This window comes from Homo sapiens, chromosome 21, assembly GCF_000001405.40.
Source record: "Homo sapiens chromosome 21, GRCh38.p14 Primary Assembly".
Lineage (NCBI taxonomy): Eukaryota > Metazoa > Chordata > Mammalia > Primates > Hominidae > Homo > Homo sapiens.
Window position 1 is genome coordinate 29672325 of NC_000021.9, and position 14150 is coordinate 29686474.

A 14150-nucleotide genomic window follows, 5' to 3' on the forward strand; every position below is an offset into this window, starting at 1 on the left:
TTACTTTCTTAAACTTAAGACCAAGTGCTCAGAAATTATTATTCTGTTGTTATTATTCTTTTTTTTTGAACATTACTCATGTCTTCATTTATATAGGATTTCACAATTTACCAAATATTTCTATCCACATTATCTGTGGAGACTAACACATAGCAGTTTATTGTCTAGAACAAATTAGAAGAAAGAGGCATCTTTTCTGTAACTGTCCCTGTATACCTTTTTTATTGTGTTTGCAATCCTGCATGTTTGACAAAAAGGTCTTGCCATGAGGAAGATGTATTTAGGACAAGTCAGGCATTGTGGAAATGAAATCTGGCACAGTCTTTTCAAGAGACATAAGAGAGAGAGAGAGAGAGATGTTTAATCACCTCAAAATGATGTCCTTCTCTCATCTTCAGCTGGTAGGAGTCACATACCACTCGGTCCACCCATAGAAACACACATTTACAACTAAACACTCACATTATGGCTTCAATGAAGCCCCATGAACTCTCTGAGCCCCTTGCCTGTTTAAAAGGGCTCTGAAAATTATAATCTTTAGCATAAACGGGACTGCTGCAGTTTTATTATGCTGCATTAAGTGAAAACTAGATGGCATTTTTGAAAAATAGAAAATAACATTTATCCCACACCTCCACCTCCTCCCTAGCCCTCTTACCTGCTTAAGGATTTCAGCGGCTGTTTCATGTGAACAATCAAATATCACATAGAACTCCTTGCCTTTCTTCATCTCCTTGAGTAAAGGCTTGGCATCTTTATTCCCAGAGGGCAGCTGGCGGATTTTGATTTTAATATTATATCTGGAGGGAGCTTTGATGAGCTCTTGTAGACGAATTAGACCTAGAAAATGACATGCAATCATGCAATGGAGACTGTTCTGTCGACAGAGTATTGTTTATTGCCATTTAGTTAAACTCGTTTCAACTCCAAAACATACCCAGTGGCCACCTTCCTAAAGGTTACACTCCTGACTTCCCATTTGTCACTCATCTTCCTGTGGTGGATTATACCATTTTCCCTTTGTGGGTGTGTGTGGCTTGGAAGCATAATTTTCCCAGGAGCATTTTAAATTTATTTAGAATGCAATTGTCCTTTCCAGCTTTCAGCAAACACCTCCCATCTTTAACAAATCAAGCCTGCAACTGTAAAACTTGGTAAACAAAAAGTTGGTTGAAGTTTCCAAAAGTGTTCGATGAAATAGATCACACCTGCTCACTTACAAAGCCGATAGAATATGGAGATTTGTCTAGGCTATAAACTTCTGTAAGCCTTTTATTAAGTATTTATATATAACATACCCTTAACCAGCTAATTAATTGGGTTGCTTTATATAATCTTTCAGTTCATGCCATATAAACTATTTGTAAATGGCTCATGCTCATTACATTTTCTTGCTAATATATTTGAATGTTAACTTGGAAAATCCTACTTGATTTTTTAAAAAGACCATAGAATTTTTAGAAATTAAGATCATAAAAGCAGAAACAGAATTTAAAAAAAAATTCCCTATTGGTTATTGCAACAAAACATATACGTCCAACTAACTTGATGGAGAATGTTTGATTTACCACAGGTGTGGATGTACTGATCTGCACTGTTTCCTAATAGACATGCTTTACTAGGACAAGGAAAGCCGCTGTGTAAAAGGCTCCCTCTTATGTTCCCTAATGTTAGCAGGTGCTCACTACGCTGCACCTTGGCTCTCACTCAAGAACTTCCATCATACGGAAAAATTGAGTTTTTTTTTTTGTTGTTTTTTTTTTTTAGTATGCAGTTCTGTACCTTCAGGATTTGTCAGCTTTAGGTAATCAGTAGGGAATATTAAGTTTCATGAGTATTCAGATGAAAATTGTGATATGCTCTGTGCAAGATTCAGCATGTATTCCAGCTACTGTCAAAGTCACATTTTTCTTTTTCTTGTTTTATTTATGTAGCTATTTTTTTTTTTACCAGAAGTTACATTTGTGTGTGTGTGTGTGTGTGTGTGTGGCTCAGATGAGGAAAGGTTTCTCTACCACCATAGTTAGGTTTGATTCTGATGTACAATAAATTTATAATGATATTGAACTTCAGAGTTAAATGTGTAGGAGTAGTAGAATGGGAGGGTGGTTGCTGTAGAACCTTATCAAGATTTAGTGCTCATTATCTGATATGGCTTGGCTCTGTGTCCCCACTCAAATCTTATCCCGAATTGTAATCCCCATGTGTCGGGGGGGAACTTGGTGGGAGGTGATTGGATCATGAGGGCGGATATCCCCCAGGCTGTTCTTGTGGTAGTGAGTGAATTCTCATGAGATCTGATGGTTTAAAAAAGTGTGGCACTTCCCCCCTTGCTCTCTCTCTCTCTTCTGCCAACATGTATGACATTTCTTCCTTCCTGTTTACCTTCTGCCATGATTGTAAATTTCCTGAGGCCTCCCCAGCCATGTGGAAATATGAGTCAATTAAACCTCTTTTCGTTATAAATTACTCAGTCTCAGGTAGTTCCTTATAGCTGTGTGAAAATGGACTAACACATGAATCTTTTCTCTTTTTACACAAAGATTGAATTGCTAGAATAGTAGGCTTCCTGGATTCTTGCTCCTTTTCAAATCAGTCAACTGAAGTCCCTCAGGTACTTATAATCACCTGCTTGTCTTCTCACTTCCACAGCCACGTCATGAACTACTGAGGAGCATTAAAAATGAAACAAAATATAGAACGTGGGTTCGTATATTTGTTATTTGTAATATGTGTTAATCTTTGAAATAATCCTATGATGTAACCATTATTACTATTATTATTTAAATGAGGAATTCAGGGCCCAGAGTAGTTAAGTAACTTACAAAGATAGTTAAGAAGAATCCTGGATTAAAATTGCTGTTTGTGAATCCAACACTTAATCTTTTGACGTCACCATCCTGCCTTATAAATACAAATTGTTGGTGCTGAGGGAACAGATATGGCTTAGGACTTGTTGATGAGATGGGGAAAAAATAGAGACTCCAGGCTGCCTGAGTTTCTCTCCTGTTTTCTGTTACCACCCACCTGCTTTGCAATCACATAGATTTTTTTTTTTCATGACCATGACCACAAGGGACAGTTTAATGTGGTCTCTAAATAACATTGGGAAAACATTTAAAAAGTGCATTTTGTGTGCTTCAATGAACTGCTCTCTTTTTCTGTGTTGAATAGAATGTCACATCTTTCTATCATGATGACTTACATATTTATAGGATTTAAAGTTGACATATATTTTCTCACTTCTTTCATTTATTTTTATGGGAAAACATTTGCTGGATGCTCATTAGATGCCAAGCTTCATGCTAAGCCCTGGGGATGCAAGACAACACAACCTGCTTCAAAGTCCTCACAGCCTGTAGGATAATTTTGTCCTGTCAACTCTCTTGAGGTAGATGAGGCATCAATTACCACTTAATTTTACAGATTATGAGCTAAGACTGCTGGAGGCTGGAGTAACTTGCTCAAGGTTATATAGCTAATAAGTGGCAGAACCCGGGATTAAGGCCAAATCCACCTTCTGATACCAAATTTAGGGCTCTTTCCTCCAAATCAGTGGCCCCTCCCAACTTTAGGATTTCTTGTCAACTGGCTGAATGAAAAACTAATTAACTGACTAATTAACTATATTAATACATAGCTATATAAGTAACAGAGAAAGAACATTTCTAGACCAGCACACAATATTAAATCCTTATTTGGCACACTAGGCCGTTAATAAACACACACCCCCAAATATGACCATCAACTTTTACAGTTGTTTCATAAAAGAAGGTATATTTTAATACCAATAGAGGAAATAGGAGAACAATTCAGTCCAAAAGACTAGTTTCTAATTGGAATAAATTTATCTTTTACAAAAAGCTTACTGTTAAACTCCTATTTTTCTCCTTTTGCCAGTATATAGGTAAACTGGCTTCAGAAAGGGGGAGGATCAGCAGATTTAAAGATTAGGGATGGAAACTGGGGGAAGAACAAAGAACAGGGAGGGAGTGAGTTTTTTATTTCTCTTCCTGAAGCAATTGTTTGCTTAAGAAAAGCCTTTCTGCCTTCATTAGCAAATGATGGAGAATTTACAATTCAAAAAGCACAGTAGACAAAATTTAGAGGAAGCTTTCCCTTATATTTGCATTTTGCAGCAATCCATCAGTCATTTCTTTGTAATGAGTAGTTAAAAGTCGTTTGCTAAACATATAATTGCTTCAGAAAAAGGACATTGATTTAGGCACAACACCTAGCTTTGCTAATCCTCTCTCGTGTGGATGCCAGCCCTGATGGAGTGACCCAACCCTGCCAGAACCCCAGTTGCAGTGAATGGTGAAGGTGCATGTAATGCTGATAACGTGAATTTTTTTCTAGCCCACTGAGATGGAGAGAATTTAAAAATAAAACGTAGGCAAGAGAGAACCAGACAAACCCAATAGAGGGACATTCAACAATAAAACTGACCTGGACTCTTTAAAAATGTCAATGTCATATATGGCAAAAGAAGGCTGAATTGTCTGAATCAAAGGAGATGAAAGGGATTTGACAACTGAATGCCATGAGTGATCCTGGGACAACTAGCAAACATATATTATTATTTTGCCAATAATAATATTAGCAAATATATATTTCTATATGTTTAGATAACATTATTACGTTATTGCTAAGTTTCCTGTACTTGATAATCTTAGTGTGGTTATAACGAGAAAGGTCCTTCCTAGGAAATTCATGCTAATGTACTTATGGGGAAAAAGGTCAAGATATCTGCAGCTTACTTTCAAATGGTTCAACAGTGCTACTACTTAGTATAATTTTTATTGTTGTAGGTGTTTCTATATTAAGAGAATGATAGAGCATTACAGCAAATGAGGCCAAATGATAATAAATGATGAATCTAGGTGAAGGGTGTACAGGAGTTTATTGTACATGTCCTGCAACTTTTCTCTAAGTTCAAATCTTTCTAAATAAAAAGACAAAACATACAGATATAAAATCATATCATAAAAGCTTCTTCCACTTCTATCCCCAAGAATGAAATTGGAAATGCAACTTTGGTTGAATAAACGCTTTACAGAAAGAAGGCTGTTTTTTTTCACATGAATTTGAGCTAAGCTCTGCATATAGATACAACTTTCAAAAATATCCAAATGGCCAATTCTAAACACTTGCTTTGGCCGCCTGTCTACTCGGTGCACTCAGATGTGACACAGAAAAAAATGCTGATTTGCATGCACATTGGGTAACTCAGGCAACAGGTGGAGCATATGGAGGAGGAAAAAAAAAAAACCTCTGCTATTTCCAGTGAGCATTGAAGATTTCCTATGCCTTCCTTTTAAGTAATAACAAACTTTGCTATTTAGATTGCCCCTTTTTATGAAGTCTGCTCCATGCCTTATAAATAGCGAAATAAACCTTAGAATATACCTCTGAGGTGAATAGGTGTCAGTGCTATTTTACAGTGAGGAAAGGGAGGCATGGTGAGGTTAATTGTTTGGATCGGCCCTGAAAATGGGTCACAAATAGCAGGAATTGGAAGAGACCTTCAGGTCAAACTCCTTTTGATGCATGAGTCCCCTCTACACAGCCACTGCTGAACACCTCTCAGTGTGAGAAATTCTCTACCTTACACCGCAGTCCAATCCATTGCTGGATAGCTTTAGCTATCTTTAATGAGTCTCGGTTCAAAAGAAAAGTACCTAGGTTTTCTTGAGTCTTAATCCAATTTCCTGTTTGTTAAACCATCAGTGAGTTTGATGCCATAAGCATGAATGTTATAAACCACTGGGACCCAAAGATCAGGTTGCAAATTTTAAATGTTAATTTCTTCTCTATTTGAACTTGGAAATATGCAAAATGGCATTTCATAAACTTGTGGGTATATTAATGTACCCAAATCTAATACGATTCTTAAGGGGATCTGTGCATCCTCCAGAGCGGAGGAAAAATCAAAACTAAAAAATGAAAACGGGTATGTGAGCGAATTACCTGGGGAAACACAATGCTTTTAAAGTGCAGATCTTCATACATAGCGTTTTTCAGAAGTGCAACAGAGAAGGCAAGTGGGAGTCTTCCCAAAAGAAAAATTGTGTACCTTGGTTACAAAGGAGCTTATAGAAGAATCTAGTCTAAGTATTCAAGAAAGTGTATTGCACTCAGCTCCACCAGTATATGTTGGTGCTGAATTCTCGTTAAGTTTCAACAGTAGCTAAAAAGAATATGCCTGGCCTGGAATATCTAAATATTGGTTTCCTGGGCATAGTTCTGAATATTTAAGTAAGGTTCTGGTCAAAGAACCGAGGTGGGAGATATGAAGGGTAGAAAAAAGTGAGTACAGAGAAAAAAAGAAACTGTAATTTATCATTTTTTTTGATATTGAGTGTAAAGAATGTTCCATCGTTGGGTTATTTCAGTGGAATGGTGGGAGAGCACATAGCAGAAGAGTTTTAGCTATCACAAGTGGTCATAATGACACAGTGGGGTGAGTGGTGATGACAGAAGGTGAAAAGAGTCACTTATTTGGCACTGACTGTGTATAGCACATCTTGCATTTTAGCTTGACTACTCATGCCAAAGTGTTGATTTTCTTTGAGTCCAAACTTCAGGCTTCTGTCAAGATTCTTAGTTCTAGAAGAGTATATTATTTCTGTTTTCTATGGGAAAATGGAAGGAACTATGACAGATAGAGTTTTTAAAAACTAAGTCATTACTTAAATACAGCTATAAGAGCAGATATTTCACTTACTCACAGGCTGGTTGAGCACATTAAATGAGTTAATCATCTATTTAGGACAGTGCACATAGTCAGCACTCAAGAATTTAGTTATTGTTATTATTGCGATTTTCATTTCATGTATGTTTTCTCCCAGGGTTGATTGTTTTTTTCAATCACTGCCACTGTTAGGGATGCTATTCTCATTTCAAATTAATCCTTACAGTAAAGCTCGGAGACTATATTTGATGTGATGACTAACAACTAACTCTTCACTGCAGGCTGCATTTTAGAAATCTCATGGCTGTGATGTGTTGAGAAAAATGACTTAAGGTAAACAAAGATAAACTTCTCAAGGTTGATGTGTTATAAATTCAGGGCTAGAGGCATCTGTCTGGTGCTCATTTCCTTGATGTACTCATCCCGTCCTATCTATAGGCTGAGGCCACTCAAATTTGTGTCTCCAGCCCAGATCCATTTTCTAGACTCTAGACTCAGGTATTAACTGCCTGTTCTTACCCTTATTCAGATGTCTAATAGATATCTGAAACTCAAACTTAACATATTAATGACTCAATTTCTGATATCATTCTTATTTCCTCAAACTAGTTCCACCTATAACCTGTTTCAGGTAATGACAACTCCATCCTTTGGCTCAGGACAAAAAGATCAATCTTTTATTTCTCTCTTCTTTCTTTCCTAACCTCTACTCCCTCAGGATATTATTAGCATTTTGAGTTAATTTTTGATTCTTTGATCTACAGGTATGAATTAAACCGTAACCTGCCTCACCAACACCATGGCATCAATATTTTCTCAGACTGGAACACGGTCTTCCTGTTTTTATCCTCCATTTAAAAATAAACTTAACATATGGCATTTGTCTTGTGTCTAAGGAATACAAAGTGTTTTTCTTGACATTTGATTTAATTGAAACACTGAGCCAAACTTTGATATTTCAGAGGAGTTTGCCATAGGAGGGAATATGCTCGCTATCTTCCAAACAGGTTAATATCTTGAGGCAACCTGAGGTGTCCCAAGTTTCTTAGGTCATTGAGTTCCTTAAATCAAAATAAGTGTCATACAGACCCAAAGGTTGTGCTGGATACTCAAAAAGACATCTTAAAGTAGTAGTGAAACTAATAGATAAAATGCATGCAGTTGAGAATATCCATGATGATTTTTGTACAGTTCCCTCAAAGACCCTACAATGTTTGAGCAATCATTCAAACATAGCCCAATGTCACCACACAAATGGAGATAAAGGAAAGAGGACATGATCATATATAATAAAAACTTTCAAATGGGGAACACATTCAAATATCCTCTCAGATATTATGCCAGCTCTACATTAAAAATGTTTCCAGAACCTGAGCGTATCTTACTCTTCTACTGTATTGCCTCCATCTCTTCCCTGGGTTTCTATAGGAGCCATCTGGCAGGTTGCCATATTTCTACCTTTGCCTCTGTAGAGTGTACAGTGATTCTTTTACTCCTACTATTCTTCAAGAGTAGGCCCTCCTTATCTGAGGTTTTGCTTTCCATGGTTTTAGCGAACCACGGTCAGTCGTGGTGTAAAAGTATTACATGGAAAATTCCAGAAATAAACAATTCATAAGTTTTCAATTGCATGCCCTTCTGAATAGCATGATGAAGTCTTGTACCATCCTGCTCTGTCCACATGGGACGTGAATCATTTCATCATTGTTGTTGTTAGTCTCTTACTGTGCCTAACTTATAAATTAAACTTTATCATGGTATTATTCATACAAGTGCTATACAGACAAATATAGAAGAAGTGCTTAGGTATGTATATATAGAAATAAACATAGCAGGCTGGGCGTGGTGGCTCATGCCTGTAATCCCAGCACTTTGGGAGGCCGAGGCAGGTGGATCACGAGGTCAGGAGTTCGGGACCAGCCTGACCGACATAGTGAAACCCAGTCTCTACCAAAAATACAAAAATTAGCCGGGCGTGGTAGTGAGTGCCTGTAATCCCAGCTACTGGGGAGGCTGAAGCAGAATAATTGCTTGAACACAGGTGGTGGAGGTTGCAGTGAGCCGAGATCGCACCACTGCACTCCAGCCTGGATGACAGAGAAAGACTCCGTCTCAAAAATAAAGTAAAAGAAAAAAGTAAACATAGTACATATAGGGTTCAGTACTATCCGTGGTTTCAGGCATCCACTGGAGGTCTTGGAATGTATCCCCTTAGGATGAGTAGAGACTACTGCAGAATGTTACTCTGATCTTATCCACCCTCTGCTCAAAACTCTTCCACGGCTTCCCATTCCAGGCAGAGCACAAGCTCTTCCAATGGTTTACAAAGTCTTGCATGACCTACAAGGCCCTCCTCTCTGACCGTCTCTTCTATCTCCCCTCCCCTCTTACTCTGATCCATCCACCCTGGCCTCCTTGCTGTTGCTCTGAGGTACCAGGCACACTCTCACCTGAGACATTAGCTGTTCTGTCTGACTAGAACCGCCTTCTCTCTCACAGAACGTGGTTCACTTCCTCAGCTCCTTGCAGCCTTTGCTCAAGCCTCATCTGTGCAATGTGACATGACCTTTAATTCTGCAAACCACATTTCTGGCTTCCAGATTCCCTTCAATCTGCTCTACTTTTTCTTTCTTCCACAGACTCACCACCGTTCAACAATTATAATCATTTTATATTGAATGAAAAAATGGTTTATTATTCCCATAGAACCTAAGCTCCTTGAAGTCAGTGGGTTCTATCTGTTTTATTCACTAATGTATTCCATATGCTTAGAACAATGCCTGGTACCAATATTTATTGGCATATCCAATAAATATTTGTGGAATGACAGACTCTGACAGCATTAGTGAAGATGAAGAAACAGATGATCTACCAGGGTGGCATCACGATGGGACAGTGCAGTGGCAATTTGTGTTTTAGAAAAGCAATTTATCCAAAGTTGGGAGCAACTTTAGGTGCCAGGGTAACCTCTTGGGTACTACAGGAATCCTTATATCAGGACCTGCCTATGACAGGGTTTTCCAAGCCTGGGCTTGAACTCTTCTGGGTCAGGGTGTTAAATATTTTGGAGAGAAATGCAATTCATCTCTTGAGAGATCTGGTGATTAAAAGTTCATTCTTTCAGTGATGCTAAAGTTGCTTCCCTCAATCCTTCACCCACTTTGTCCATGAAAGCCCAGAGGACTAGCTAAAGCTTCTTCTATTCCATCACCCTTTAGACTCAGTGTTCAGTAGCCATTAACTTCTATGTCCTTATGTTTTTCTTTTGCAGCCTAAACATTTTAGTTCTTTTAGACTTACTCATGTATTCTGTACATGAATGTTCTCAATATCCACATATTTATAATGAAGTAAGGGCTGGCGTCGTTGTGAATTTTGGGAGGCGGGCCTATCCATAGGTAAATTTTAGAACAGGAAAGTTCCTATTTGAAGCACCCTGTTTTCTTTTGCTTACATTTTTTTTGGTCTAAATATTTAGCTTAATGGTGTCTATAATAAGAATTCAAGGTATTATCCTTCTCCCTACTCAATAAATAATGCTGAGATAACTTGCTAGCCATATGTAGAAGAATAAAACAGGACCCCTGTCTTTCACTATATACAAACATTAACTCAAGATGAATTAAAGATTTAAGTGTAAGACCTCAAACTACAAAAATTTTGGAAGAAAACCTAAGGAATACCAGTCTGTACATTGTTTTTGGTAAAGAAGTCATGACTAAGTTCTCAAGAGAAATTGCAACAAAAACAAACATTGACAAGTGGGACCCAATTAAACTAAAGAGCTTCTGCACAGCAAGAGAAATTATCAACAGAGTAAACAGACAACCCACAGAATGGGAGAAAATGTGTGCAAACTATGCATCCAACAAATGTCTCATATTCAGAATCTATAAAGAACTTACATCAACAAACAAAAAAAAACCAAATAACCCCATTAAAAAGTGGGCAAAAGACGTGAACAGACACTTCTCAAAAGAAGACACGCAAGTGGCCAACGAGCATATGAAAAAATGCTCATCATGACAGATCATCAGAGAAATGCAGATGAAAACTACAAGACACCATCTCACACCAGTCACAATGGCTATTATTAAAAAGTCAAAAGACACAGATGTTGGTGAGGCTGTGGTGAAAAGGGAACACTTATACACTGTTGGTGGGAGTTTAAATTAGTTCAGCCACTGTGGGAAGCAGTTTGGAGATTTCTCAAAGAACCTAAAACAGGACTGCCATTTGGCCCAGGAATCCCATTACTGGGTATATATCCAAAAGAAAATCATTCTTCCAAAAAACCCACACACTCATATGTTCATTACAGCACTATTCACAATAGCAAAGGCATGGAATCAACCTAGATGCCCATCAGTGGTGGATTGGATAAAGAAAATATGGTACATACACACCACAGAATACTATGCAGCTATAAAAAAGAATAAGCTCATGTCCTTTGCAGCAACATGGTTGCAGCTGGAGGCCGTTATCCTAAGTGAATTAACACAGGAACAGAAAACCAAATACCCATGATCTTACTTATAAGTGAAAGCTAAACATTGGGTACACGTGGACATAAAGATGGGAAGAACAGACACTGGCGACTACTAGAGGAGGGAGGCAAGGGCTGAAAAAGTACCTATTGGTACCTGTGCTCACTCACTGCATGGGTGACAGGATCATTCATACTCCAAACCTCAACATCATGCAATATACCCATGCAACGACCTTCATATGTACCCTTTAATCTAAACCAAAAGTTGAAATTATTAAATATTGTCCTTTAGCTATTTACATATGCAAAGCCTCCATGATATGAAATACTTAATGATGGGGTTCAGCACAGTGCTACCAGGAAATAGTTATTTTGTCAGGGCCTTTGCACTGGCTGTTCCCTCTGCCTGATGTCTGAAATGCTCTCCCCCAGGTATCTACATGATTTGTTTTTTATCCTCTTTAAATTTTTACTCAAACGTTATTTTCTAGAGCACTTCCCTGGTATCCTTACATAAAACTGTATACCTCATCTCTACTGTCGGTCTCCCGAATACTGTTTGATGCTTTATTTTCCTTCATAACATTTTCTACTGTCTATCTACTAAATATTTACTATATATTTTGTTCATTAGAGAAACAGACTGTGGATTCCATGAAGTCAGATATTTTTGTGTGTGGTTTATCCCCATTACTTAGGATAATGTCTGGCAGTAAATGTCTATGAAACAAGGGAATCTATCATCTCTATCTATCTATCTATCTATCTATCTATCTATCTATCTATCTATCATCTATCTACCGTTTATCATATATCTATTTAGCTGTCAACTATATTCACTATTTATCAACTATCTATCTAATTGATCATCTACCTATCATCTATCTAATCTATCATCTACTTATTTATATATCTATCTAATCTATCATTTACCTATCAGCTATTAGGTTGGTGCAAAAATAATTGCAGTTTTTGCCACTACTTTTAATAGCAAAAACGCAATTACTTTTTTTTTTTGAGATGGAGTCTTTGCTCAGACGCCCAGGCTGGAGTGCAGTGGTGCGATCTTGGCGCACTGCAAGCTCCGCCTCCTGGGTTCATGCCATTCTCCTGCCTCAGCCTCCCGAGTAGTTGGGACTACAGGCGCCCGCCACCACGCCAGGCTAATTTTTTTTTGTATTTTTAGTAGAGACGAGGTTTCACCGTGTTAGCCAGGATGGTCTCGATCTCCTGACCTTGTGATCCACCTGCCTTGGCCTTCCAAAGTGCTGGGATTATAGGCGTGAGCCACCACACCCGGCTGCAAAAACGCAATTACTTTTGCACCAACCTAGTATCTACCTATCATGATCTATTTTCTATCATGTATCTGTCCTCTATTAATCATTCATCATTTATCTACCTATTGTCTATCATCTACCTATCATCTGTCTATTAATATCTATCATCTACCTATCATGATCTATTATCTATCTATTATGTATGTATCTATTTATCTATCTACCTACCTGTTTATCTCCTTGTCTGTCTGCCTGCCTGCCTGCCTATCTAATATCTAAAATAATATACACTAAGACACTATCTGTGATAGGTTTTCTGGATATTTTTGTTTATGTCCTTACACTTTTCTTCATTTTAACATTTTCTAAACAAAGCAATCTTTTTTAAAAAACTATATAAAAATAAAACTTTCAAACAACGTATTGCAGAAGCCATTTAGATCTCAGGAAAAGGCAGCCATAGTACAGAGTATGCAAATATGTGCTGTCTTGACTATTTTCCCCAATATTTCAGAAAATATCACCTGAACCAAATGAATATAAACTTTGGGCCAGTTTAGTTAAGGACAAGTTAAAGTAGAGAAGAGAGACAGGCAAAACTATAAAGTAGGTTTTTCTTAATCATTCACAAAATAAAAGCTAAGCAGAATAGGAGTTTTTTTTGTTTTTTTTTAATGTTTTGCCACTGAAATTTGAATTAGCACTTGCTTATTTGCTCTCTATGCTGACTGCGTAGGTAATCGCCTAACCAAGCATAAGAAAACACTTTGAAATCCCACTCTCTGTGGCATGCAATATTCAATGCTTTTGTTGTCTTTTAAGAGAGCCAAACCTAAAATGTGCTATGATTAGTTTAAAGTAAGAAACAGCATTTTAAGTCATTATTAGCCATTAACACTGTTGGGGCTCAGAACATGACACCCCAAAATATGGCACCTTGGCATGCTGACTACTTTGAACTGAAAAAGACTGGAAAGTTCTCAGAAACAAGGTCTTTCTGACTTTCTCCTGACCCCCGGTATCCTACCCCTCTTAATCCACTGACGTGAGTCATAGAAAGTAGAATTTCACTTCCCTAAGTGGAGCATAGAAGCTAGAACTCCTCTCCCCAAAAGCAAGATATAAAATCTAGAAAGATTCTCTTTTCCCTTGAAGACTCTTATTTCATAGGGGCCCTGACCCATGCTCAGGAGGAAGGAACACTGCACAGAGAGGCTAAGAAGAATCCGAACACACAGGCCTTGCTGGGCTTTCCCCCTCAGCCTATTACCACTGATTCTACCCTTTTGTCCAATCACATTTCCACATGTTGTTCATTCTTCATGGAATCTAAGCATAGAAATAGACAGTTTTCCCTAGGTCTTTGGTCTTCATTTTTGAAGCCTCCTGAGTCATGTAAAACTTTGGTTAAACAAATTTGCTATGATTTTCTCTTGTTAACCTGTCTTTTGTTATAGGAATGTCAGTTGTGATTGTTATGATGGGTGAGGAAAGGTATCTGTTCCCCCAACACTTCTTTGAAAATTTGTTTATCCAATGAACCAGAATATCACCTGGCAAATCCCACAGAGATAATGAGACAAAGGACTGACACGTATTGATGAGGAAGCCAGGAGGGCCAGTGAGGAGGAAAGAAGGGCATGAAAACCCAGAAACCAAAACGAAGGAGTTTTGGATGTGAGCTGAA

The 14150-nt window shown here is 37.9% G+C and overlaps 1 protein-coding gene across 13 annotated transcripts in view; it reads right to left on the reverse strand.

Moving 5' to 3' along the window:
- The window catches only part of GRIK1 (glutamate ionotropic receptor kainate type subunit 1), a 403064-nt gene that overhangs the window by 135392 nt on the left and 253522 nt on the right, over positions 1-14150 (reverse strand). For all 13 annotated transcript variants that reach the window (NM_001320621.2, NM_001320618.2, NM_175611.3 and 10 more), the window contains one exon: positions 659-840. In NM_001320621.2, coding sequence (NP_001307550.1) covers positions 659-840 — 182 coding nt within the window. The remainder of the gene's footprint in view (positions 1-658; positions 841-14150) is intronic.